General features: G+C 49.5%; 2 protein-coding genes, 1 long non-coding RNA gene and 1 other non-coding gene across 10 annotated transcripts in view, besides 3 other annotated features; 2 read left to right on the forward strand and 2 right to left on the reverse strand.

Moving 5' to 3' along the window:
* Positions 1-1,449: 1,449 nt before the first annotated feature.
* Positions 1,450-13,449, reverse strand: SELPLG (selectin P ligand). Of its 2 annotated transcripts, none has more exons than NM_003006.4 (2): positions 13,295-13,449; positions 1,450-3,867 (listed from the first exon to the last, which is right to left on the reverse strand). In NM_003006.4, exon 2 carries the CDS (start codon positions 3,860-3,862, stop codon positions 2,624-2,626), a length of 1,239 nt encoding a protein of 412 aa, NP_002997.2. In that variant the 5' UTR covers positions 3,863-3,867; positions 13,295-13,449; the 3' UTR covers positions 1,450-2,623. The 2 variants fall into 2 exon arrangements, with proteins under 2 accessions (NP_002997.2, NP_001193538.1); NM_001206609.2 differs by lacking the exon at positions 13,295-13,449 and adding an exon at positions 11,414-11,636.
* On the forward strand, positions 8,201-26,220 carry LOC105369968 (uncharacterized). 4 transcript variants are annotated; one of them, XR_007063447.1, is made up of 4 exons: positions 8,201-8,304; positions 13,886-15,601; positions 15,950-16,010; positions 20,429-26,220. It is a non-coding gene; the product is annotated as an uncharacterized LOC105369968 (long non-coding RNA). The 4 variants fall into 4 exon arrangements; XR_007063449.1 differs by having other exon boundaries at positions 13,886-15,792; positions 15,950-26,220; XR_007063448.1 differs by having other exon boundaries at positions 15,950-26,220.
* Positions 11,363-11,512: an enhancer, noted in NCBI's record as "active region_6972". NCBI's record gives its function as "activates an Ori minimal core promoter by ATAC-STARR-seq in GM12878 lymphoblastoid cells {active_cell/tissue: GM12878}" and the evidence as "EXISTENCE:reporter gene assay evidence [ECO:0000049][PMID:35858748]".
* Positions 12,921-12,970: an enhancer, noted in NCBI's record as "active region_6973". NCBI's record gives its function as "activates an Ori minimal core promoter by ATAC-STARR-seq in GM12878 lymphoblastoid cells {active_cell/tissue: GM12878}" and the evidence as "EXISTENCE:reporter gene assay evidence [ECO:0000049][PMID:35858748]".
* Positions 14,211-14,260: a silencer, noted in NCBI's record as "silent region_4830". NCBI's record gives its function as "represses an Ori minimal core promoter by ATAC-STARR-seq in GM12878 lymphoblastoid cells {active_cell/tissue: GM12878}" and the evidence as "EXISTENCE:reporter gene assay evidence [ECO:0000049][PMID:35858748]".
* MIR4496 (microRNA 4496) lies at positions 15,365-15,425 on the forward strand. The gene has a single exon (NR_039717.1). It is a non-coding gene; the product is annotated as a microRNA 4496 (primary transcript).
* CORO1C (coronin 1C) overlaps positions 24,664-27,250 on the reverse strand; it is an 86,410-nt gene continuing 83,823 nt past the window's right edge. For all 3 annotated transcript variants that reach the window (NM_014325.4, NM_001276471.2, NM_001105237.2), the window contains exon 11: positions 24,664-27,077. In NM_014325.4, coding sequence (NP_055140.1) covers positions 26,958-27,077 — 120 coding nt within the window. In that variant the 3' untranslated portion in view covers positions 24,664-26,957. The remainder of the gene's footprint in view (positions 27,078-27,250) is intronic.

Genomic DNA, 27,250 nt, shown 5'->3' on the forward strand with positions numbered 1-27,250 from the left:
GCGCATTCATTTATGGACATATTGTCAGTGGCTGCTTTTGTACTACAAGGACAGAGTTGAGTTGTTGCAACAGAGGCTATGGTGTTGCAACAGTTAAGGCCTACAGTATTCACTGTTTGGTCCTTTAAGAAAAAGTTTGGCAGCTTGAACTTTTCCACCATTTGACAGCAAATCAGTGCTTCTGTGAGTTGTACAAAAGGTTGCAGGCTGCATCTAGGATCACCAATAAGCTACTGGCTGTTAATGAGAGACAGGGCCTGAGTGAAAAGGAGAGGTCAGGGTGAGCTTCTGGAGAGTGGGAAAGATTCTGTGCTTGGCCAAGCTTTAATCAGTCAGGCCCCTGAGTCCTCTCCTAGGCCCATCTGTGCACTTCCTTTTAAAATCCAGTTCTGGGCCGGGCGTGGTGGCTCACACCTGTAATCCCAGCACTTTGGGAGGCCAAGGCGGGAGAATCACCTGAGGTCGGGAGTTCAAGACCAGCCTGACCAACATAGAGAAACACCATCTCTACTAAAAATACAAAATTAGCTGGGCGTGGTGGCGCATGCCTGTAATCCCAGCTACTCAGGAGGCTGAGGCAGGAGAATCACTTGAACTCAGGAGGCGGAGGTTGCAGTGAGCCAGATCGCGCCATTGCACTCCAGCCTGGGCAACAAGAGCAAAACTCCATCTCAAAATAAATAAATAAATAAAATCCAGTTCTAACAAGAACTCTGCTAAGTCAGCTTAGCAACAACCCTCCCCCCACCACTCCATATCTGATCACCTCCCATATCTGATCACCTCCTATATCTGATCACGTTCCTCATCTGCCACCATCCCCCCGGTGATGTCTGAGCACCCTGGCCTGCCTCCAGTATGAATCCTGTTAGGTCAGTGTAGAAAATGACCGAGAACCCATCCCCAGCAGTCAGTTTAGCCAGAATTCCCCTTCCCCTGATGTTTCCTCTTGGTAATTTTCCAGCTGCAGATATCCAACCCTGTTCCCTGGCTATCAGCTCCCACTTGCCCCTGCTGTACTCATAGTTGAGCCCAAATGCCCCCACTGCAAAATCCCATAGCTGCAGTCCCTGCAGTGATTGAGAGAGTCCCACTCCCCTTGAACAAAGTCTTCCTTACCATGCTTTAACAAGGGTCATTGAATCTTTTTTTTTTTTTTTGAGACGGAGTCTTACTCTGTCACCCAGGCTGGAGTGCAGTAGCGTGATCTCAGCTCACTGCAACCTCCCTCCGCTTCCCGGGTTCAAGCAATTCTCCTGCCTCAGCCTCCCCAGTAGCTGGGACTACAGGCATGTGCCACCACACCTGACTAATCTTTGTATTTTTAGTAGAGACAGGGTTTCACTATGTTGGCCAGGCTAGTCTTGAACTCCTGACCTCAGGTGATGTACCTGCCTCGGCCTCCCAAAGTGCTGGGATTACAGGCATGAGCCACTGCTCCCAGTCCCATTTTTTTTTTTCTTTAACAGGAGGATAGATTGATGTTTAGAGGGATATTGGTCCGAGGTTTGGGGGGGACCAAACTCTGTGGGCCAAAACTGGGTAATGGAGGAAGTGGAATAAAGTGGTCACTGGTGGGGAAGGGGCAGCCCTCCCTTTGGCCCCCCATAGCCTGAACTTTTCCTGGTCACCCAAGGATGTACAAGACCCCCTGTTGTCCAAGAGGCAAAACTGAAGTCAACCTAACAGCCCATGAAAGAGGCTTCCTGGGGGGCCAGGGGCTGAGGGCAGACAGCTGAGGACCAGCCCCCATCCTGCACTGAGGGATGGAGAATTCCGGGAAGGCTGCCTGAAGGAGACAGCCTTGAAACCTTGAAGGATTCCGCTATCGTTTGTCCATCACATATTTATTGCCTGCACTGGACCTGCAGTTGGGATACTGCAGTGAACAAGACAGAGTCCACCCTGGAAAGTGGCCACAGGGGAAGGCAAGAGGCGATAGCTGGGGGTCACTTGTCACTAGATGGAAGCTCCTTGGTCCACACAGTCCCAAAGAAAGGTCTGCCCTTGGGCCCACGAAACCCATCCCAGCCCTCACAGGCTGAACCTCACCCTGGGTTTTCCCAGAGAGGTGCCCAAGAAGACCCAAGCTGCCCCAAGTCAGAGGAGCAGCAGGAAACAGCCTCAGAAGTCCGTCACTCTTCAGTACTCCTCCCTTAGAATGTCCACTTCCTGTTTGGTGACCATGGCAACCAAAAGACAATGGCAGTGCAGTGCGTGTGGGATGGGGGAGCTCCATCTTCCTTGGGTACATGGGGAGGAGACTCCAGTGACCAGGAGAAGCGGGGAGAGCCATGGGAGATGTTAGAGGGACCCAGAGAAGATGGGGGACAGGAAAAAGGAGAGAATCTGTCTCAAGTAAATGGCCTCCTGCCTTGGACCTCGGCTGAAATGTGGCTGGGCTTCATCCGCGGAGGGAGGAAAGAGGTGGCTCCACTTGCCCGTCTGCTTGGCCCCAGGCTGCTCTTGTCCTGTTTGGGTGGCCAGAGTTCCTTCCCTGAAGATCCCCATCCCCAGGGGTCTCCGAGGAAGCCCAGAGCTGTGGAATGGGGTCTGGGCACTCAGGGGTGGCCCAGGAGAGCCCGTGGAGGTGGGGTCTTGCCAAAACAGATGGCAGAGTGAGCTAAGGGAGGAAGCTGTGCAGGGTGAGGTCATCCCCCTCACGGTCCTCCCTGGGCTCTGGCGTCAGGCCCGGGCTCTTGGCCTTGGACAGGCCCCCATTGGCTGTGGCAGAGGGCCCCTCACCCCCATCAGGCAACAGGGATGAGATGCAGACCATCTCGGTGGGGGAGTAATTACGCACGGGGTACATGTGGCCCTTGCGGGAGAGGCGGACCGCCAGCACCACAGTGCACACGAAGAAGATAGTGGCCACCAGCGCCAAGATTAGGATGGCCAGCAGGCACTGCTTCACAGAGATGTGGTCTGGGGCCCCCACTGGGTAGTTGACGGACAAATTGCTGGCTGCCATGGGAATGCCCTTGTGAGTAACAGAGGACACAGAAAAGGGTATGAACAGACCTCTTTTGGTAGTAGGTTCCATGGACAGGGCCTCTGTGGCACTGGGTTCTGTGGACAGGGCCTCCATGGCTGCCAGTGGAGTGGTCTGTGCCTCCGTGGCTGTGGGTTGAGTGGTCTGTGCCTCCGTGGCTTCTGGTGCAGTGGTCTGTGCCTCCATGGCTGTGGTTTGAGTGGTCTGTGCCTCCATGGCTGCTGGTGGAGTGGTCTGTGCTTCCATGGCTGCTGGTGCAGTGGTCTGTGCCTCCATGGCTGCTGGTGCAGTGGTCTGTGCCTCCAGGCCTGTGGGTTGAGTGGTCTGTGCTTCCGTGGCTGCTGGTGGAGTGGTCTGTGCCTCTGTGGCTGCCAGTGGAGTGGTCTGTGCCTCCGTGGCCGTCAGTCGAGTTGTCTGTGCCTCTGTGGCTGCCAGTGGAGTGGTCTGTGCCTCCGTGGGCACTGGTTGAGTGGTCTGTGCCTCCGTGGCTGCTGGTTGAGTGGTCTGTATCTCCATAGCTGCTGAATCCGTGGACAGGTTCCCCATGTTGGCCAGCTCCGTGGTCAGCTCTGTGACTGCCCCTCCTGCATCCAGGCCAGTAGAACGCCTTGCAGCAGGCTCCACAGTGGTAGACTCAGGGGTTCCAGGCCCAGTCAGAGGAGTGGTGTCAGTGCTGTTCCTCAGCATTTCTGGAGGCTCCGTTTCTGGCAGGAAATCATAATCTAGGTACTCATATTCGGTGGCCTGTCTCCGGTCCCGGGCAAGCAGGGGACCCAAGGCTTTCTCGGCTTCATCTGCCCAGGTGTCCCACAGCTGCAAGCTGTTGCCAGGGCCCAGTAGGATCAGCAACAGGAGGAGTTGCAGAGGCATGGCACCTAGGAGGAGACAATGGGCGGAGGGATGTCAAGACAGTTTCACCCTTGGGCTTAGCAAGCACCCTAGACCACCACCCTCTACTGCCACAGCTGGAAGCATGTCTGGTCTGGAGCAGGGACTGGGGACTTAGGCATCCCTGACATGCCTGGGATGGAGAAGATCCTCAGCCAGTAGCAGTTATTATTATTACTCATCAACATGAATAAAGCCATCCAGGAGGGCCCTTTAACTTCTTCTAGATGGTGCATAGAAATTGATTTGCCTCCCTCTCCATTTTGGTTAAGCCACTTTATTTGTGGACAAGACAATCCACTGGGGTGTAGAAAGATTTAGTGCTTCTGCTTCTAGTTCTATTAACTTTTCATGTCACTCCTTTTTTCTTTTTTTTTTTTTTTAGATGGAGTCTTGCTCTGTCACCCAGGCTGGAGTACAGTGGCGCTATCTCAGCTCACTGCAACCTCCACCTCCCGGGTTCAAGTGATTCTCCTGTCTCAGCCTCCTGAGAAGCTGGGATTACAGGCATGCACAACCACACCCAGCTAATTTGTGTATTTTTAGTAGAGACGGGGTTTCACTATGTTGGCCAGGCTGGTCTCAAACTCCTGGCCTCAAGTTATCTGCCCACCTTGGCCTTCCACAGTTCTGGGATTAGGCATGAGCCACTGCGCCCGACCTCATGTCACTCCTTCTTAATTTCAAGTATTACATTATTTATAATCTATCATAAGAGTAAAGTAGTACCTGCACAGAATTCATAAATAGATTAATTGACCACTTACGAAGTCCATAAGCAGAAGAGTTTGTAAACCACAGACCTCCCAGATACCGCTGCTTATTGGACCTTTGAGGCCTCTTGGAGTCTGATTCTACCTGCTGCCCCCTCTCCCTGCCCACTGCCATGCCACCTCTATATGTCTGTCTTCCTCCTTCTCCTATCTTGCTTCCACCCTCCATAGCCCTTGCCAGTCCTCAGAGTCTCAGTTTGTCTCATTCCTTCTCAATGTCTTGTCTTGGTCCCATTTGCTTTGGTGGTGTTCTTGCCTGCACAATGCACAACAGGGATGACGGTGCCTACTTCACAGCCTATTGTGAGGATAAAATGAAGGGATGCATGCAAGACCCTTAGCACTTCGTTTGCATGACAACCTCTCCGCAAAGACTGGCTGATTTAGTTCTTTCAGTCAACCTGCACTATAAGTCTTCAAGGGCCCAGGGCTACTTAATTACACTCTCCATGGCCAGGAGAAAACTCAAATCTCTTCAGAACAGCCCTGCTCTCAGGAAGCTTATAGTCACTGAGTGTGCCTGTGGGTAGGACCACTGTCTATTCAGAGACTCTACATTGTCCTCCCTACTAGGTAGCCAGAAAAGACAGTGCCTCTTGTTTGGTCATCTCATTGATCTTTCTTCTTGGCATTGTGAACACCTGTGCTTTCTTGTTTTCTTTCTCTCCCCTCATGCTCTCCTTGGCACTGGCTGGTGTTTACAGAATTAAAAATTCTATGCTGAGAATCCTATGGTGAGTGACAGCCACGTTCTGGGGCAGGATTCAGGTATTCCTGCATTCCCTGGATATAACACCCTTCAGCAGCACACAACTTTTAGAATAGTGTCTGATGCAGAGTGGGCATTCAAGAATAGCACCCGGACAATTTCCAGTCTCTTCCTTTGTACTTCATTCACATGATTTGGAGGAACGAACAGTTGCTCATCATTCCTCGGGTGACTGTAACTCACTCACGGGCCCCTCACCTTCCAGCCAGGTTCAATCTGATCTCTTTCATATGTTAGTTAGAATTATGTTGGTTTCTTTTCTTTTTTTTTTTTTTTTTTTTCTCCAAGACAGAGTCTCGCTCTGTTGCCCAGGATGGAGTGCAGTGGCACGACCTTGGCTCACTGCAACCTCCGCCTCCCGGGTTCAAGCAATTCTCCTTCCTCAGCCTCCCAAGTAGCTGGGACTACAGGCGCACACAACTATGCCCAGCTAATTTTTGTATTTTTAGTAGAGACGGGGTTTCGCCATGTTGGTCAGGCTGGTCTCAAACTCCTGACCACAAGCAATCTGCCCACCTCGGCCTCCCAAAGTGCTGGGATTACAGGGCGTGGGCCACCGTGCCAGGCCTATGTTGGTTTCAAATATGCAAATCTGATCATATCTTAAACTAATTTATTTCCATTTATTTATTGACTTACTTATATTAGAGACAGATTCTCACTTTGTCGCCCAGTCTGGAGTGCAGTAGTGCAATTATAGCTCACTGCAGCTTCGACCTCCTAGGCTCAAGTGATTCTCTCACCTCAGCCTCCTGAGTAGTAGGGACTATATGCACATGCCACCACATCTGGTTAATTTTTAATTTTTTTTTTTTTGTAGAGACGGGGTCTTGCTGTTGTCCAGGCTGGTCTCAAACTCCTGGCCTCAAGCAATCCTCCTGCCTCGGCCTCTCAAAGCACTGAGATTATAGGCATGAGCCACCACACCCGACCCACATCTTAAAATAATTTCTTAGGCCAGGTGCAGTGGCTCACGCCTGTAATCCCAACTGTTTGAGAAGCCAAGGCAGGTGGCTTACCTGATGTCAGGAGTTCAAGACTAGTCCGGCCAACATGGTGAAACCCTGTCTCTACTAAAAATACAAAAATTAGCCGGGCGTGGTGGTGCTCCCTGTAATTCCAGCTATTTGGGAGGCCAAGGCAGGAGAATTGCTTGAACCTGGGAGCCAGAGGTTGCAGTGAGCCAAGATCACACCACTGCACTCCAGTCTGGGAGACAAGAGCAAAACTCTGTCTAAAAAATAAAAAAATACTTTCTTAAACCAAACTTTACGATATTTGCACCAGAGACATCTGGCCCTCACAATTATCCCCATTTTACCAAGGACCACACTGAGGTTAAGAGAAGTGAAGTGACTTGCCCAAAGACACACAGCTGGTGAGAGGTCAAGATCAGACTGAAACCCAGTGAGGTTCAGGAAGGCATGAGGCCGTCAGGAGACACCTGACCTAGTTGAGGAGACAGAAGGCTGGGCTTGTGGACTTGGGTGGGAGAGGGAGGGCAGAGTAAGAAAAAGGAGGAGCTTGAAAGTTATGTCCCCCAGAAAGGCCTGCCACATATTTACCGGGTGCCATGCAGGGCATAGGGTTGAAAGCATAGATGTGGGGTCAGACAAAAAGGATGTTCAAGTCCTAGCTCTGTCCCTTACAAGCTGTATGACCTTGACACAGATGCTTGCCTCCCTGAGCTTCAGTTTTCCCATCTGTAAAATTGGGATAAGAAACAGTGCCCATCTCACAGGGCTGTTGAGACAGTGCAACAAGGGGATAGATTCAAAAGTTCCAGGCTGGTGGGCATGGTGGCTCATGCCTGTAATCCCAGGACTTTGGGAAGCCAAGGCAGGCAGATCACTTGAGCCCATGAGTTCAAGACCAGCCCGGGCAACATAGTGAGATCCCCATCTCGACACAAATAGAAAAATTAGGCCAGTCACGGTGGCTCACTCCTGTAATCCGAGGACTTTGGGAGGCCAAGGCAGGTGGATTGCTTGAGCTCAGGAGTTCCAGACCAGCCTGGGCAACATGGTGAAGCCCTGTCTCTCGTCTCTACAAAATACAAAAAATTAGCCAGGAGTGGTGGTGTGCCCCTGTAGTCCCAGCTACTCAGGAGGCGGAGATGGGAGAATTGCTTGAGCCTGGAGAGATTGAGGCTGCAGTGAGCTGTGATCATGCCACTGCACCCCAGCCTGGGTGACAAAGCAAGACCCTGCCTCAAAAATAAAATAAAAAAATTTTAAATAGAAAAATTAGCCAGGCATGATGATGCACACCTATCGTCTCAGCTACTGGGGAGGCTAATGTGGGAGGATCGCTTAAGCCTGGAAGGTTGAGACTGCAGTGAGCCGAGATTGTACCACTGCACTCCAGCCTGGGCGACAGAGTGAGACCCTGTCTCAAAACAAAACAAGAAAACAAAAGTTCCAAGCTTACAGTAGGTGCTTAATAAATGTAACACACACACACACACACACACACACACACACACACACACACACACTTTTGCCTCCCAATTTGCCTTCAGGGCAGCAGAATTTCTTTGGGGTAGAGTTCTTATCTGGGGGAAGAATCTACGGCCCAACCTTGGCCCCACTTTCCTGGAGGCAGGGACTTTAGGAAGAAGCCATTAGCCTAGAGACATATTTCATACTTATGAGCACACTCACAGCTACCAACCCCCACTTGGGCAGTTCTCTGTTCCTGGAAGGCAAAGCCCTCAGCCACTTCCTGGAAGCAGAGAAGGTGGGGGCAAAGTTGCAAGGCCTGGTCTCCCTGGTTCCCGGGTTGGGGGAGGCATCTTGGTGAGTCAGGGCCGGACTTGCAGCAGGCCGGAGGCTGGGAGAATAACACAGAAACACGGAGGGTGCTGGGGCCCAGTTCTTCAGGTAGGCTGTCACTGTTGCCCACCCTTCCCCTACAGCCATCCCCACAGCCTCCTGCACCCAGAGACAGCTGGGGTGGAGGAGAGGCTGGGGCCTGAATCCCACATTTGCCCCCACTTAGCGGCTGTGTAAACTCGGGCAGGTTGCTTCACCCTCTCTAAGCCTCAGTTTCCTCATTGTAAAACCGGCAATATTGCTTAAAAAAAATCATCATGAGAATTGAATGAGTGTATGGAAGTTCCCAGACGCTGGCTTCCAGCCGGGGGTACTTTATCTGGAGGACTCTCTTCGGCGCTGCAGGCAGATGAGCAGAGGAAATGGAGGTCTCAGACTCAGAGGGTATGGAGATGGCGGCCTCTCTACCTCCCCTGTGGGTGTTTGGGCTTTGAGAAAGCAGAGACCTCCGTACCTGTTATGATAAGACCTGGTACATTCGGAAAGCCCAGACCTCCTTTCCTGGGCCCGTCTAAAGCAACCACCTTATCCTACATGTTCCTGGTGTCAGTGCTGAAAGTCCCTCAACCCCAGAAACCCCTCACTCCCAGGCAAACTGGGGGTGGGGGGTTGTTGGTCACCCCAGCCTGGTCCCTGCCATCCCACTGGCTTTAAGACACAGCAGCCTGGAGCCAGGCCACAGCTGAGCAGGCATCAGCCCATCTAACAGAAAGAAAATCTGAGGCTCAGCCAGGCACGGTGCCTCGAGCTTGTACTCCTAGCACTTTGGGAGGCCAAGGCAGGAGGATGACTTGAAGGCAGGGGTTCAAGACCAGCCTGGGCAACATACTGAGACCCATATCTACAAAAAAATTAAAAATTAGCCAGGTATGCTGGTGATGCCTGTAGTCCCAGCTACTCGGGAGGCTGAGGCCAGAGGATGGCTTGAGCCCAGGTCAAGGCTGCAGTGAGCTATGATCGCACCACTGCACTCCAGCCTGGGTGACAGAGTAAGACCCTGTCTCTAAGAAAAAAACATATTTTTTTTAATGAAAGAAAAGAAAACCCGAGGCTCTGAGAGATCTTGTCTCAGCTGAGGCCACACAGGTAGAAGGGGGAGGAGCTGAGTTTTCTCACCGTGTATGGCAGGTAGCATAATACCTCCTTAATATTTGCTACAGTAAATGTATTATACAACAATAAAAATGACATATGTGGAAGCCCCTCCCACGGAGGGATGATTTCATCCTCTCACTATCTGGTGACCTCATTCCTCCTCACCCCTGTGTTCACTGGCTCTAACGGTGCCATCACACTGATTAGCAAGCAAGGCCCGGAGCGGCGGGATCACTCCCAGGCCCCACCTTCCACCTCTCCTCTTCCTGGAAGGCCAAAAAACAGTCCCACAGAAGTGGGGCCAGGGCAGGGCTCCGACAGAGGCGTCTCCAGTGACCACGTCCTATTTGTCTCAACACTTGCCTAACAGAGTAGGTCAGAGACTGCTCGTTTGCCTCTTTCGCCCTAAAACCAGGCTGCTTCTGGCCCAGGCCCCATCTAGACCCCATATGGGCCCCATCTAGGCTGTGTGGAGGAGCAGGCTGCAGGGGGCCCAGACTCCAGCTCCAGAGAACCCGCCGTGTGGCCGCCCTGAGCTGCTCAGGAAAGATCCTCGTGGGGCTCCACGCCGCTAGGAACCTTGCACTGAGAATCCTGAAACTGGTGGTCAGAGCGGGCAGGATCTTGGAATGCTAAAATTCAAAAGACTGAGCATCTCAGGGTTTGGGTCAAGTAGTCACCAAGAGAAGGAAAGACCCCAGATAACTGAGGCACAGGCAGCAGATCTAAGTCTGGGTAGACAGGACAGGCCCTGCCCTGCCCTGCTGTGCCCTGGGAGTCACATCAAACCAGGTCAATCCCCAGCTCTGTCCCTTAGAAGCTGTGTGACCTGGGGCAACTCACCTCACCTCTCTGAGCTGTGGGTTCCTTAGCTGGAATACAAGGACAATGGTAGCACCCGCTTTTTATGGGGTTGTTGTGGGTTGAAGAGGGCCAGGGAAATGCTGAGTCCTCCCAGAAGCCTTTCCAGATTGCCCCAGGCACGATTAGTCACCTCCCGTGTTTAAATCATTTCTGCTGTTCATTTATTTTCTAAAAATGTATTCACATTGACTCCTAAACTTCCAGAAGGCAGGAACCACAGCTGTCTTGCTGATCAGGCCACAGGCCCAGGATTCAGCCGATGGGCAGGCACACACCCCTCGCAACACTCGCCCCAGTGGCTGGCAACCACTGTGGCTGTCTGCTCTGCTGCCCCCACCAGACCACAAGTTTTTGGAGGGCAGGAGCTCTCCTGGGTCTCCTGGCATCCCCAGGGGCCTCACTAAATGCCTCTGCAGAAGAGGACATGTGACTGAGGCAGGGGAACGTGCACAGAACTGCACAGCACGTGCTGTCTTCACACTTTTCACACCACATTTGCCAGCTGACACTTTGCAACCTCTTTCCGTCATCTACCTCAACTCACATCAGGGAGTCTCTGTAGACATTTTTTCCCACTTATCATCGCCCTTATGAAAGGTTTATTTATTTATTTAATTTTAGAGATAGGGTCTTTCTCTGTTGCCCAGGCTCGACTACAGTGGTGCAATCATAGCTCACTGCAGGCTTGAACTCCTGGGCTCAAGCGATCCTCCCAAGTAGCTAGGACTACAGGTGCATGCCACCAGACCCGGCTACTTTTAAATTTTTTGTAGAGATGGGTTTTCCCCATGTTGCCCAGGTTGGTCTCAAACTCCTGGGCTCAAGCAATCCATCTGCTTCAGCCTCCCAAAGTGCTGGGATTTATAGGCATGAGCCACGGTGACCAGCCCTCCTCATGAAAAGTTAATAGCACAGATATGCTGTATATCTGTTTAATGTTTGGTGGCTTGCAAACCACAGTGTTAGTTGAGATTTTTTTGTTACACCCCCCTCCCTACCCTCCACCCCACCAAGAACCAAGTTACACCTGTTGGAACCCAAACTTGCTGGCCTGATCCAGAGGCAGTAAGGTACTTGGCACAAATGAATTCAATGAGACCTACATCTGGTTAGTTGAACAACTGTCTTTAAACAGTTTTCTAAACACCCCTGTGTAGACAGACAGATTAACAAACACAGACCCCCAACACACACACACCAGCCATCTTATCTCCTTCTAGACCACTGGCCCCCACTGCCATCTTCCTGTTCAAGTTCAGCAAAGGAAGCCGAGACACAGGCCTAGGGTCACCACGAACTCCATGGGCATCCTGCAGCCAGAAGCCATGCCGCCAGAGGCAGCTGCTTCTCCCCTTCAAGCCTCAGTTTTCTCATCTGTAAAAGGGGCACTGTCCACCCTCCAAGGTTCTCGGATGATTGATTCCCCAGCTCCTCTGAATGCCCCACTCTGGGCCCAGCCTAGCAACCCAGCCCTTCCGCTCTCTGAGGTTTAACTCCCCTGGCTGCTGGCCAAGCCTGCTGAGGGAGGCATCAACCACCCAGGGCACGGCCTCGGAAGAGACTCTGGGGCTGTCTGAGGGCCTGGGAGCCACCTTCTGAGGCCCCGGCCCACTGAGGGGCCTGGCTCTGGGGGCCTCAAAGTCAGAGATGGAAAAAAAAGGAAAACAGAAGAAAGAGGAAAGAGGAAGAGAATTCCAGGCAACAGAAGCCCAGATATCGACAATATGGGGTGTGTGTGTGTGTGTGTGTGTGTGTGTGTGTGTGTGTGAATGTGTGTACAGCAGGGCACAACTGGCCCCCACCATTTCCTTTTAGTGTCCTGAAAGTATCTCAAATACAAACTAATAAGAGTATTCTAATTTTTTTTTTTTTGAGACAGGGTCTCACTCTGCCACCCGGGTTGGAGTGCAGTGGCACAATCTCGGCTTACTGCGACCTCCCCCTCCCAGGTTCAAGTGATCCTCCCACCTCAGCCTCCCAAGTAGCTGAGACCACAGGCATACACCACTACACCTAGCTAAGTTTTTGTATTTTTGGTAGAGACGAGGTTTCACCATGTTGCCCAGGTTGGTCTAGAACTCCTGAGCTCAGGCCAACCACCTGCCTCGGCCTCCCAAAGGGCTGGGATTACAGGTGTAAGCCACTGCACCCAGCCAAATATTCTAATTATTATTATTATTATTGTTTTCCCTTTTGCTAACAATAGTATCTTAATTCTAATATTTTAATAGTTTGCCACAGACAAGTGTCATTTCCTCAGTCTTATAAAAAGTGGGAAGAATGCATCTTTCTCTGAAAAGAACTTTTTTATGCGTCCATAACATGCAGCTTCAAGAGAAATCCTGCACTCCCCCTACTTTCTGGAGTCTTCCAGACCTAATCTCAGCTCTGCCCCTAAACAAATCCCTTCACCTCTCCCGACCTCAGTTTCCCATCCAGGAAAGGAGAGGATAAGATCATTTCTAGGGAAACACTCATGGTTTCTCTGATTTTCAAAATCAGAATGCCGCCAAGCCAGACGCTGCAGGCAAACTGGCCAGGGAGGGAAGTAAGTTAATGGGAGGCTGGGGCTGGTGGGTCACACCTGTAATTTCAGCACTTTGGGAGGCCAACGCAAGAGGCTTGAGGCCAGGAGTTTGAGACCAGCCTCGGCATCAAAGTGAGACCCCATCTCTAGGAAAGGTAAAAATATTAGCTGCATGCGGCGATGTGCGCCTGTAGTCCCAGCTACTCAGGAGGCTGAGGTGGGAGGATCACTTGTGCCCAGGAGTTTAAGGCTGCAGTGAGCCATGATTGTGCCACTGCACTCCAGCCTGGGTGACAGAGTAAGACCCTGTCTCAAAAAAAGAAGGAAAAAAAAAGTTGGCAGGAGCAGGATTCAGAAGAGTCACAGAATAAGGCCACAGACTCCAGGAAGACTTTAGTCTTGAGTCGGAGGAGCCTCAGTTTGCCCTCCCCAGGTGCTGCAGCTCAAGAAGGGCCTGGCGGTCCTACCCGGGCCTGCCAGCAGCTATAAGGCAGGCCCTTGGCCCATGGGGACCTCCAGCCACTCCCTGTGGTTTTGCAAGCCAGCACTTACCACCGTGCTCAGCAGAGCATGGGACAGCTGCCTCGTGGGCCCAGAAGAAGTGGCTTCTCTGCTTTAGTGACAAGGTCCCAGCCCACGCTGCCAGGCACTGCTGTGGCACCCCCTGCGGCAGTCCCGGATCCGAGCAACCCCCAATGGCTGTGTGTGGAAGGAGGAAGCGAGAATGTGGTTACTTAGGCAGGGCCATGTGACAGCCCACACCCCATTGTTTGTGACAGCTTTGGTGACAACATTGATAAAGACAGGGTGGTAGTGGGGCACCTCCTAGGTCTGACACTGTTCTTGGGTTCCCATAACTGTGAAAACACTGAGAACCAAGTAGAAGCTTTCTGGGGAGAAGTTCTTCGGTTTTGGGTGGGGCCCAAACTGAGAAAGGCCACAGCATTACTTCAGCAGCAATGGACAGTCGGGGCCAGAGGGAGCCCCCTGAAGGACAGGAGTGACCAGAGAAAAAGGAGAATGGTCTCGCTTCTTGCCCAAGATTGGTGGGGCGTGGGGAGGGGTGGGAGGTGGTCAGGGAGCAAAAAACACAAAATATGAACCTTCAAAGGGTTTGCAAATATGGTGTATTTCTTCTCGCAGGACTCAAAACACTCTCTGTAGATGCACAGCACAGGCCCTTTCAGCTGCAACCAAGAGCCTCTCTAGGGAGCTGGACTACAGATACCACAAGGGCAAGTCCTGCTTATCTTATTTCTTCATCCTAAATTTGTTCATTTGACCAACTCTGGCACTCCAGACTGCATGCCCTGAGGTCTAAAGGCCAGCAATTCTGGGCTGTGGCCCTCTGGTAGCCCTCCATCCAATGGGGAGGCCAGCGAGTAAACAATTCGGTGGAACATCATGCCACAATGACACAGCGCAGTGAGTGCCATCCTGCGGTGAGCAAGGGAGGGGCCTCTCCTTCCATCCTGGGTGGGGGAGGGAGGTTAACAGGAGGAGCTTCCAAGAAGTGGCACTTGAGATGACAAGCCAGGTGGGCATCCCAGGCAGAGAGCACAGCAGAGGCAAAGGCTGGGAGGCCTAAGAATACCCAGACACTTCCAGAAGGGAGGGAATAGGGGGGTCTCCCAGGATCTGCCCTGCGGCTTTGCACCAGGCAAGGGCTCAGGACATGCACAGAAAGATACTCATATCTTGCCTTGCACAAAGTTGTTTTTTTTTTTTTTTTTTGAGATGGAGTTTCACTCTTTTTGCCCAGGCTGGAGTGCAATGGCACAATCTCGGCTCACCGCAACCTCCGCCTCCCGGGTTCAAGCTATTCTTCTGCCTCAGCCTCCCGAGTATCTGGGATTACAGGCATGTGCCACCACCCCGGCTAATTTTGTATTTATAGTAGAGATGGGGTTTCTCCACGTTTGTCAGGCTGGTTGGTCTTGAACTCTCGACCTCAGGTGATCCACCTGCCTCGGCCTCCCAAAGTGCTGGGATTACAGGCGTGAGCCACCGTGCCCAGCCGCACACAGGTTGTTTTAAAATGAAAACCAGAGACCCAGCAGGTGTTCGCCATGACACAGTCTCAGCCACCTTAAGAAGCTGCAGCTGGAAACAGCCAAAAGCTCACCCTGCCGGCACGGACAGGGAAACTGAAGCCACAAGAGGGGAAGTGAGACCCCTAGAACCCAGGCCCCTCACCCTTCCCCAGCAGGTTTGGAAATAGCCATCCTTCAGGGACAGGGGACTGAGAAACTCTAAACACACCCAAGACTGCCTGCAGGTCACTCTCTGATTAGCGGAGGTGAGTGGTTGCAAGCTGTCTGTCACATCCAGCCTGCCACGTGGTTTTGTGCAGCTTGTGAGCTAAGAATGGTGGTTACATTTTTAAGTGGTTGGAAAATGTTTTGTGATGCATAAAAACTGTGCGAAATTCGAGATTCCGTTTTCATAAAGTTTTCTTGGGACACAGCCACACTAATTGGTGTAAACATATTGTCTCTGGCTGCTTTCACGTTGCAGCGGCAGAGTTGAATAGTTTCATCACCTGCAAAGCCTCACAACACAAACGCTTAACGTTTCCTGAGCCTGTGGTCAATGCCAGACCCTGTGGTAGGTGCTTTGCATACATCAGCTCATATAATCCTCGAAGCTGCCTTTAGAAATGAGGAAACTGAAGCTGAGAGGGAGAATGTGCCTTGCTCAAGGGCACACAGAGTAATGGCAGAGCCAGGACTCAAGTCCAGGCACATGAAATAATGTTCTTGATCTTAACCCCTAGCCTGGGATGGTGCAGGCTGAACGGTGAGCTCCAGCACATCAGCAATTACTATATGTAAGGAAAAAGGAGTAGCTTAGCAGCAGGTAAGCTATTTCTTCTGTGTGTGTGTAATAGGGTCTTGCTCTGTGGCCTAATCTGGAGTGCAGTGGCGTGGTCATAGCTCACTGCAGCCTCAAACTCCTGGTCTCAAGCAAGCAATCCTCCTGCCTCAGCCTCCCCAGTAGCTGTTACAGGAGCACACCACCACGCCCAGCTCCAAGTAATCTATTTCAAGGTGAGACTTGAGCAGTGAAATTTCCTTCTCAGAGGAGCAAATATTGCTAAGATAAATCTGGTGTATGTCGTCTGTGTGAAGACCATAAAACCACACTTCACCGCACCTGACATCTGTGAGAGTCAAAGACTCAAAGTGAATATGTTTCTGCTTCTAGGAATGAAGCCCAAGAAAAATACTCCAAGTTGCCTTCCAAGATTGAAGCAATGATATCTGAGGTGAGAGAAATATTGGGAAAAAACACAGACTCCCCTACTACAGAAACCTGTCCCTTGATGGAATGTGACGCAGGCATGAAAGTTATATTTATACTGAATGCTTATAAAGCACTCAAGACCTGTTAGGTAGAAAAGAGAGGGCACAGAAGTATATAAACAGCATAATTCAAGTGTGCTTGCATGCTGAGAGGACAGACTGAAAGAAATGCTGACGGTGCCTATCTCTGGGTGGCATAATTATTAATGCCCCTTTCCTTTTAAATATATTTTCTTTTCTATATTTGTATATAGAAAAAATGTATATAATGATGTCTATTTTACTTTTTTTTCTTTTTTTTTTTTTTTTTTTTTTTTTTTTTGAGACAGAGTCTCACTCTGTCGCCCAGGCTGGAGTGCAGTGGCACGATCTCAGCTCACTGAAACCTCTGCCTCCTGGGTTCAAGTGATTCTCCTGCCTCGGCCTTCCTAGTAGCTGAGATTACAGGTGCTCACTACCATGGCCTGCTAGTTTTTGTATTTTTAGTAGAGACGGGGTTTTGCCATGTTGGCCAGGCTAGTCTCAAGCTCCTGGCCTCAAGTGATCCACCGGCCTCCACCTCCCAAGGTGCTGGGATTACAGGCATGAGCCATCATGCCTGGTCTACTACTTTGTTTAATTGTTACAACTGCCTCATGAGGTAGGTACTATTAGTATCCCCATTTTGTAGATTAAAAAAAATGTTCCAGAGAGGTTAAGAAACTCGCCTAAGGTCACAGAGCTAGTAAGTGGCAAAGCCAGAGTCTGAACCTAGGGTGTCCTATGAAAGAGCCTGCATTCAATCACAATAAATATTGGTTCAATATATAAGTGATTCCAGCTCCTCCTTGCAGACCTTGCCTGCTGTGATTGGTCTAAGAGGACCCAGTTCTCCCCACCTCCTCGCAACACCGTGTGAGCCTGCTTGGGGTGTGGAGCAGGAATTGCAATCAGCAAAGCCAGTGGGTGTTAGGTTCCTCTCTACACTGGAGCCCAGTAGTGGGCTAGCCTAGGAAGCAAGAGCTGTTTATGGGTCTTCTGAGAAAAATGTGCTCCTGGTTGTAACTAACTGCCTGCTACTGTTGGAACAGCCCCATGTTAAAGCAAAAACATGGCTCATTGGGCCCCTACTTGGAGCTCTCTTACAAGTGGATCCTGAGCAACTAGAGATTTGGTATTCAAACAAACAACCTATAACCTCTTTATACTTAAATGATCATCCGTGCACTAAATTCAGTCTTCCTTCCATTCGCTGATGGATGAAAATGCCTGCAGCCTCATGGTGGTCCCCAGTCCCCAGAGGCAACACCACAGCCTGTACAGCTGCATGTGTGCAGTGGTCTATTTAATTGCGTTTTGCTTCTTTGTTGTTTCGGGGTGGGGAACTGTTCCCACCAGTGACAAGCACAGCTGTAATAAAGCCTCATATTATAGAGACAAAGAGAGGAAGGCTTGGAGGCTTGGGTGCCAAAAGCCAGCGCAACTTAGCTTCAGCCTGGTATTTACCAAGCTTAGGTTGGTCAACAGTACAGTTATTAAAGAAAATGAAAAATTAAACATTTGTGGAATCCTGAACATATGTGGCTAGGCAAGGACTATAACTGACAGGCCAGGTATAGCCTGAGATTTTATAATCTATGTGTAACTTGTCAGGAACTGTTATCCCTCCCCGACCAGGTGCTGGCTTCCTATGCAAACCTGTGTCCGCTTCCCTAAAAATGGGGAAAACAGGGGTGACGTCGCTTATAGAATCCCACCTCCCTTGCCAGTGGTCACTGTCCCTCCAAGGAAACTGAGGCTCCCTGGTGGCGCAGGAGGGCACAGGCGGACCGGAGCCCAGCCAGACTGCAAAGCCCATTAAAAGCCTGTTCCTTCCTCCGAGGAAAGCAAGAGTCTTGCTGGTTGTGCCGCTTGTTTCTCAGGGCAGTGGTCTTTTCAGTTTACTCACAATGGGACCTTTTGTTCGAATGAAAGCAACGGTCTCATGAAATAGAATAAGAACAGAGCTGCTCGCAAGCAAGGCCCAGAAGGGAGGAGGGGAAGTCACGCCCAGCTGCCTGCCCTCCCCCGTTCCCCTGCTGCTAGGGGGGCTCACGGGCTACAGCTTGCTGATTTGAATCATCCAAAGGGGAAATGGTCCACTGTGGGCCTGCTCCAGCCAGGATTCAATTCCCTTTCTCAAATGGGAACAGAGCTCTGGGGAGTTCACTTTCGGCCCCAGATTTTCGCTGCCAATCTGGGCGGCACTAGGAACCAGTTTCTGGGCTGGAGACTGCAGCATGAAGCCATTCCTCCAGAGTGGAAGAAAACAGGGGCTCCCCAGCTCACTGGGTCTGCTTGGGCTGGGGGTAGCCAGCGCTGCTGGTCCCAGACCTGGAAGGCCAGAGGGCAAACAAATGTTAGAAATGTACTCCAGACTCCGTGATTCTTCCCCAGAGGGTAGTGGCTGAAGGAATCCATGCCTCTGGCAGACATCCTCAATCACCTGGCCTCAAAGACCCCTGGGAAGGGGTCTTTAGGGGAGAGACCTTGGTGTTGTTTGAGGAGGCCAGGGGCCTGGCAATAGGAGTCCTGGGATATTTTGTGGAATTTAAGATCAGAAATAAAGCTGGACCTTAGGCATGGACTCGGGGAGCTACAGGGACCCAGAAGCCCTTTCTTCATCACTGTGTATCTGCTCTGCCTGCGTGGTCCCTGGCTTCCCCAACTCCCAGGCCCCCATAAAGGAAAACCCAGATCTGATGCCACTGATGGTGGCTCCAAGGGGCTCATAGGTCACCTGGAGTTGACTGTGCTCCGGGACAGTCTTATTCTGTGAGCAAAGTACCGCTGGGCGGATAATGCAATATGTGCTCCCATCCCAGATAATGTCTACATTTTCAACTATTCAGTCTTTCAGTAAGTACTGATTGGCACATCATGCCAGATTCTGGGGATCCTGGTGAAGGAAACCAGTGCCTGTCCTCATGCGGCTTATATTCAATTCAGGGAAGACACTCAAAACTCCAATGAGATGATAGATCAGCTATCAGTGCTACTAAGGTGCTACGGGCACTATTTACATATGGGGGTCAGGTGAAGTGCTGGGAAGGGCAGACACTGGAGGTGGGGAAAGGATGGGCACTCCCGAGAGAACAGCACCTGCGAAGCTCAGGGGTAGAAGGCCTCCTGAACACAAGAGAACATCAGGAGAGGATGAGGGGCGGCAGGGCAGGCAACACGGGGCCTCCTAAGCCAGTGGTGAGGATTTAGTTTTTATTCTGAGTGGGATGGGAAACCATGGAGGGTTTGAAGCCTTAGACACAGGGGTCAATGAGCTTTTTCTTAAAGGGCTACACAGTAAATATTTTAGGCTTTGTGGCCATACGATCTCTGTTGCAGCTACTCAACTCTTCAAGTATAGAGCAAAAGCAGCCACAGACAAGGCACAGTGTGTTCCAATAAGCTTTACTGATGGACACTGAAATTTGAATTTCATATCATTTTTACTTGTCACTAAATATTGTTTTTTCCCCCAACCATTTAAAAATGTAAAAAGCCTTCTTAGCTTGTGGGCTACACAGAAGCTTCCGGCAGGTTGGAGTTAGCCCATGGGCCTTAGCATGTCTTCCCCCACCTTGATACCTGAAAAGGTGACTATGGCTGCAGCTCTGAGAACAGATTCAAGTGGGTGGGGGAAGCTGGGTTAGGAAGCTGTGACTGTTAACCTTGTCAACTTGACTGGGCAATGGCGTGCCCAAATATCTGGTCACGCGTTACCCTGGGTGTGTCTGTGAGGGTTTTCTGGATGAAATGAACATTTGAATCTGTGGGTTGAGTAAAGCAGGTTGCTCTCTCTGGTGTGGGTGGGTGGATCCATTCAGTTGAGGGCCTGAATAGAACAAAAAGGCTGAGTAATAAGGAATTCCTTGCAGGCGTGTGGCTCATGCCTGTAATTCTAGCACTTTGGGAGGCCGAGGTGGGAGGATCACCTGAGGTCAGGAGTTTAAGACCAGCCTGGCCAACATGGGGAAACCCCATCTCTACTAAAAATACAAAAATTAGCCAGGCGTGGTGGCGCATGCCTGTAGTCCCAGCTACTTGGGAGGCTGAGGCAGGAGAACTGCTTGAACCCAGGGGGTGGAGGCTGCAGTTAGCCAAGATCGTGCCACTGCATTCCAGCCTGGGCGACAGAGTGAGAGACTCCATCTCAAAAAAAAAAAAAAAAAAAAAAAGGAATTACTCCTGCCTGCCTTCAAGCTGGGACATCAGTTTTTAGCTGCTTTCCAATCTGAACTGAAAAACTCAGCTCTCCTGGGTCTCTCTGGTTTGTTGACTGCAGATCTTGGAGCTTAGCAGCCTCCATAATCATGAGTCAATTCCTTAAATACATCCCGATCTCTCTCTCTCTTCCCCCACGCAGACCCTATTGGTTCTCTTCTTCTGGAGAACGCTAATAGAGAGGCTCTGTCCACGCAGAAATGATGGGAGCACAGGCTGGGGGAGTCACCGGGCAGGTGTGAGAAGTAGCTGGGATATGGATGCACTGTGAAACCAGAGCCTGGGTGTGGGATACGCAAGAAGAGATGGGAGTCAAGGAGGCTCAGAGGTGGAAGAGCATGAACTTCCTCCTGTAGACAAAAGGGATAATCACTTGTGTCTCCTTCAGAGACCTTGACAGAAAACATCACTCTAGAAGCAAAACAGGGAACAGGCGGTTGGAGGCAGAGAAACCAGCTACAAGGCTGTTCGGACACTAGACTGTTATCTACATGGGGAGGCACCTGGCAGGTGGCCAGATCCCCAGATGGAATCTCCACCTTGTGGTTTATGAGGCATTCTAGGCCACTGCCTCCTGAAGACACTGCTCAGGGTGGTAAGAACTCATTTTGCATTTGGGGAGCTGTAGGTGGGGATGGTGATAAGCAGCCCAGGATTTTGTTCGCCAAGAGGTATTATTCCAACTTCCACAACCCAAATAGCATCTCTGCACGGAAATGAAGCTGCAACAGCTCCCTGTCATGGATGGGGCACTTCCCAGTTCTCAGACTTCATCACTAGAGCCCCCAAGCTTGGATGTTGTTGCTGAACTCCCTCAAGGCACTAAGTGTTAGCCTGAGCACCTCTCCTGGCTGGACCAGGGGTCACTTGCTCCATTACAGTTCTCTCCAGCTCGGTGACACTCTCACTGTAAATGCAAGTTCTCACTCAGTGAATGCCAAGACGAATGCAACCCTACCTAGTGGGGTAGAGATTAGGAAATGGGCGATGAGAGGCACAGGGCTCTTGGGAAGGGAGCCCTGCTGCTGGGGGCCTGAGAGACACCCAGTGGAGAGGAGCCTGGACAAACTTGGCAACCAGCCCCAACCACGTTCCGCAGCATTTTGGGGGCCAGGCACCCTGTGTGTGATCCCTTTCCACTGTAACCAGGCCTGCTCCCTGCTCTTCCCCTCGGAGACACAGATGACTGCTCCTCTCTGGCAGCCCAAAGCTTTCTCTGCCCCCACAACTGCCTGGGGGCCTTTGAGCCACTTCTCCCCAGTTCTGTTCCAAACCCACCAGGAAGTCCTTCCCCAAAAGTCCACTTACTCTTTGAGATCAGTGTGAGGAAGCTACTCTAAGAACAAAACTAAGCACCCGGTGGTGAGTGCCCAAGCTCAAGTGTGCAGATTTTTTCTGACAGCAGAATAGACCTGTCTACTTGCCTTCCAAGTTGAGTCCTGAAGTGGGTAACTTCCTCCTCTGACTTCTGCCCTCAGGCTCCCTGGGCAACGGCCCTGACGTTGCTTTCTAGCCCCTCACCATGAAGCCTGTCAGGGAGCCGCGTGCCTCACCCTCTATCTGCCCCTCACTAAACTCAGGATCCTAAAATCTGCCCTCTTACCCATTTTCGTTCACATGAATTAAACTCCAACTACAATGAATTTGAAGGATCCCATCTGCCTCTCTAAACTCACCCCCCTCCACATTTCAGCCAATCCAACCAACTCAGCAGTCACCTTATCCTCAAGGATCTTGGGATGCGCAGTAATTCCCATCTCCCACCCAGCCCTCCTGACACTCGCCACAGGGGAACTTTCAGCCGGCACACCACGGCCAGTGTCGCCTAGCGAACACACCCCCCCCCACCCCACACCCCAAAGTTCGAAGTTGAGAATAAGCCATTTGCTGGTGGACTCGGTTCCCACAGGAGGGATGAGGACAGCTGCCATCTGCACATCAGCTGCCTAGGACTTAACATTTCACACGTCACGTTTCAAATAGAGGCAGCAGCTGCAGCTGAGATGAAGCATATCAAAGTATACTTAGCCCTTACTATATTGGAAGAAAACGTATTTCCCAGTTCCGATGACCTTTGTTTTCTGCCATATTAAAGTCTTACGTAATTTAATTTTTATATAGCCAATCTGTCTTTTCCTTTGTGATGTATTCCATTGCTTTAGGGCTTACATTTTTTCTAGTCTGAAGTGTAGATTAAAAGGGACTTACTTTCTTCTAAATAGAAAAAGAAAAGGTTTTATTTTAACTGTGGACTCCATTAAGAATGTATATTGGTGTCCCTGCTGCCCCCACAGCTAACCAAATGTTGCTGCACCATTTCAAACATCTCCACTGATTTATGCTTATCTTAATAATTATTAACTTATCACTAATACATTAATTTTAATAATGCCTTTCTGGGAATAAATACATTTATAGGAAATTTCTAAATTCAGAAAAATAGGATTAAATAGAAATTACACACAACTTTACCTCCCTATAGCAATAACAACATTTCTGGTATTTATTCTACACATAAGTATACATTGTATATGCATATATCCTTTAAAAAGTTTGTCACAAGCCATCTGTTCGGGGTTGGTTTTACATATCTGTATTAGGAAACCTACACCTCTCACTAGAAGTTCTGGTCCTGAATGTTCTTATGAGGTCCAATGGACTTCACTTTCTTCCCCATTTTACTTCTGAATGGATTAGCCAACTAACATCATTTACTGCAGAGTGACTCCATGGGGTAGAGAGCTGATGAGAATTACTTTGTAAACACACTTTTTATGCTGACATCAGCAACACAGTTCACTGTAGGGCTCTTGGCATACACAGAAAAAAGTTGGTAGTGACATCCAGCACCCAGAAATAATATACTTTCATGTTTCAACCTAGGTAGGTATATATTTTAAACCCAAGTTGGAATTGACTTTATTTTACTATTTTTTTAATGTTTCCTATTCAATACTCTTTTTAAATGACTTTAAATAATGGAACAGAATTATAACATATGGATATGACAAGTAACTTACTGACCCCCTTCTGCAGAGTTGATTTTACTCTTCTAATTCCTGAATATACCTCCCACTAGTTCCCTGGGACAAAATTTCCAAAGGTGAGAATCTTGGGTCTTAAGAAAACCTTTAAGGCTTTTGATCCACTTGCCAGACTGCCCTCTGGAAAGGCTGTCCACCCCGCACATACCCGCTTTTCGCAGGAGAGGACTGCCACCCCTACATTCTTTGGCAAGGGACTTCTTTTTAACGAATAAAAGAGCACAAAGGGCACTGTCCGGCCTGGACATCAAGGGTTGCCCGTCTGAAGCAGGAAAGGCGTGCCCTTGACGGTGACTCATGTCCGTGACCCACTGCCAGCACTGGGATACTTAATGTGCCCGCAGAAAGAGAAGGGCCCACTTAGAGTTAACAGATTCTTAAGAGCCAACAAAGAGTTTTTCTGGGTGTAGAATACCAAGTACAGCAAGGGAAGTGACCTTGAAAAAAAAAATGGAAGTTCCCCCCAGACGAGGTCTGGCTGGCTGTCTGGGGCCAGCATGCTGACCTTCAGGTCTTCTGGCAAAGAATCAAGGTGGCCCGAGTGAGAAAACAAGTTAGTCATAAACAGACCACCACGCGTCTCCTGGCTGACTGCGGGCACCTCGGGTCTACAGAGAGCCCTGCCAACTTCTACTTCCTGCAGCCACGAGTGGACCAAGAACATGGCAGCCATTCTTCTCATAGACTAAAGCAACTTTAAGATAAGGCATTTGAGGAAGGGGAGCTTTATGCTGACCATTCATCATATTCAGAAAAAGCAAACAGTGGGAAATTCTTTGCTACAATCACTGAAATGTCACGAGACAATGTCATAGTGCGAAAGGGAAGCCCTGCAATTCAACTGACCCTGGAAGCCTGCTGGAATAAAAGTCACAGCTGAGCCAAGAGAATTTTGCTTCTATTGAAGAAAAAGTGCTTTCAAAGACTCTGTCAGAAAATCAACTCATAATAGTAACAGTAGCGGCCATGCAGCGAGGGTTGTTTGTGTGGCCACACAGGTATTCCTCTCATCTGAACTACATGGAATTATCATCCTCCTTTCAAGAAAAGGGACTCAGAAGGATTAGGAACCCCATCCCAGGACACACCGCTGGCAAAGGTCTGAGGCAGGATCCAAAGGCTCAGGTCTGCTGGAAGCCAAAACACAGTGCTTGACTGGCTTGGAGACCTCACTTGTACTTGAACTGAGCCACCCACACGCGCTTCCCCTGTACTTACCCCCGGAGAGGAGTATGGCACCGTGCTCGTCCACCAAAGTCAGAGAAGCTATGTCAGGCAGAGAGGTGGGGGCTGCCTCACAGACAGCCAAGGCGTGAAATAAACACAAACACCATTTTGTAATCAATGATTTTTATCTCTGAAAATGGAAGCAAGTGTTTTGACAGAACACTATGGCCACTCTATAAGAGCCGACCTAGGAGTAATTCACTGTCCTCTTCTGGGATGTCATGGCTTAAAAAAAAAAAAAAAAAAAGACAAAACAGGAAAATAATCCACAATGCTTTGGGCGCCTACTCTGAGCTTGGCTGGGCATCCATTCATTAAATAAGTCATAAGCTACAAACTAAGATCAGGGTAACTTTCCCTTGCCCTCCTGCTTCTCTTTGAACCACATGCCCTACGGTGTTTCACCACCATCAACAACTTTACTTCATTAATTCGATATCAGAACCTTAAAACACTACTGAATCTTAGACAAAAGGTCCTCAGCAGATTACATTGATAAAGAAACAAATACAGATTTGAATATAAGTCATTGCCATTATTGTTTTCTTTACATCTCATGATCCACTTCAATATTAAACACATACATACACACACACAAAACCACATCAAACATTCAGATGCCCTGAAATTGTGGAGACAGCACTCCCAGTATTGGCTGGATAAGAACATGGTCCTTTTTCTACACGGACATTACTCCAAGTTCGGCTGTCACCACACTCTGCCCTCACCCTGGCTCCCTGCATACAGACGTTTCCAGCCAGTCCCATGCCCACACCAGCACGAGCATGTGCAAGAATTCCCTTCGTGGTCCCAATGGCACTACACATTTCACGTTCAATCACAGACAGCCCTTCCAAAACAGAGGCTCCTTAAATCTTGTTTCCCAAGCATGCACTATAAGAAACTGGAAACGGGGCAAAGTTCCAGCTAACCGAGGAATGAACAGGTGACCAGAGCTCAGTCTCTGGCCCCCTCCGAGTCCGGGGAGCCTCTGTGCTTTGACGCAGCCTTGGTGAGAGATGGAGAGGCAGGGCAGGTTAGTTGTGCGGAGGGACATGTTTGTATGCATTAAAGCTACAGCAGAGGTCTGTGCTCCTGTTTCTGCTTCACTCTCTATCATTCTCCTCAGTCTCAATACTCATTCAATCGCACCCTCTGGCCTTGTCTTAGCTTAATGTGGTTAGAGCTAAAAGGCAGGAAGGAAAGAAGGAATGGCTGGGGGAGCCCTGAGAGAGGTCGCAGCACATGTGAGGAAGAGGGTAGAGCAGGAGCTTTGTTGGTGGAAGGAGAGCCACTTCCTCCTCCAACACAGCATGGGGACAGCACAGGGAAACAGGATCACCCAGGGCAAATACCCCTCTCCACATGCCCACATTTTTAGTCCCCACCACTGTACTCAAGAGCTGGGCAAGCTGCTGAAAAGGGCAAGAAGGAACACTCAGCAGTACACGTCTTCCTGTCCTGGGCACCCTTGTCAAGTATTGACCAAAACCTGAAACATGATGTTTAAAGTGATGAATGCAATATGATCCTAGGTGTGTAACAAACTGCAGAAACACATGCTAGTTTGGGTTAGATTATAATCATCTGAAGCACAGGATAACCGAGAAGCAAAATTCCATTCTGGTACAAACACCCAATTTCTAGAAAAGAGAAAGGAAAAGAAGAAATACGACGTGAGCTTTTTTGATCAGAAGACTCCATGAAATGAGAGCGGTGGTAATATGAATCCACGTGATTTTTCAAGTCTTCCTGTTGTACAGTCATCAAAATGACCAGGTTTGTGCTGCAAAGGAGCCAGCACCATGTGGCTACTGCTTTGATTGTTCTCAGATGAATGTTTATACAAAATAATATCTTATCTTCATTTAGTTTATAAACATACACAGTGCTGTCCCTTTCAAATTAAGGAAAAAAAACCACACACACAAATACTGCAAAGTAGCAAAATACAAAGGAAAACAAAGCTACTTTTGGTTTTGGCAACATTAAAAAAGAAAGAAATATAAAAAGCAATGTGGCATTGGTCCCTATTCATTAAAAAAAAAAGGGTACTTGGGCACGACACAATCAGAATTAGTTTGTTTTCTAAAATTCAGAGTATCTGGGATTTTAAAAGTAGCACTTTTTAAAAAGTTCAACAAGTCACATAACACTTAAAACATCAAAAAAGCTTTCTGATAAAAAGCTCAGCTTTTAAATCACGTTTTGTTTCTGCAAATTTGGGAGACAAATTGAGTTCTTACTGGAATGTGGCCTATCGCTGGTTGACAAATCTGAAATGGAATGTCTCCAAATGGCAGTGCCTCCCTTTCCGCCCTCCCTAGGACCACACCAATAACCAGCTCCCAAGCACAAGTTCTTGCTCCCATTTTTTCTGTAGGGGTGGGGGTGGGACCTTCAGGCTGCTATCTTTGCCATCTGCTGTTCTAACTTGGAAATACGCTCATCTTGATTGCAGATTGTGTCTTTTATAGATTTGATCTCTTTTAAAATCTCATCCAACTTGGCTTCATTTTGCTAAGAAAACAAAAAAAGGAGGCAGTGATTAAAATGCAGTAAACAAAGTTCAACACTGTTCAAAACTTGTAAGATATAAAATGTAGTTTTCTATTTTGCAAACGGCAAGCCATAGTCACCAAGTTGAAAAGAGAAGTCAAAGCCCTACTATGTCTGGGGCTTTGAATGCAATG

The sequence above is a fragment of the Homo sapiens genome, chromosome 12 (assembly GCF_000001405.40).
Source record: "Homo sapiens chromosome 12, GRCh38.p14 Primary Assembly".
NCBI classification, from domain to species: Eukaryota; Metazoa; Chordata; class Mammalia; order Primates; family Hominidae; genus Homo; species Homo sapiens.

Coding starts and splice junctions, on each gene's coding strand:
- SELPLG (NM_001206609.2), bottom strand. CDS start 11,456: ATGGCAGTGGGGGCCAGTGGTCTAGAAGGAGATAAGATGGCTG. Junction 3,868..11,413: donor AGAAGGAGATAAGATGGCTG/GTGTGTGTGTGT, acceptor GTCTCCTCCTAG/GTGCCATGCCTCTGCAACTC.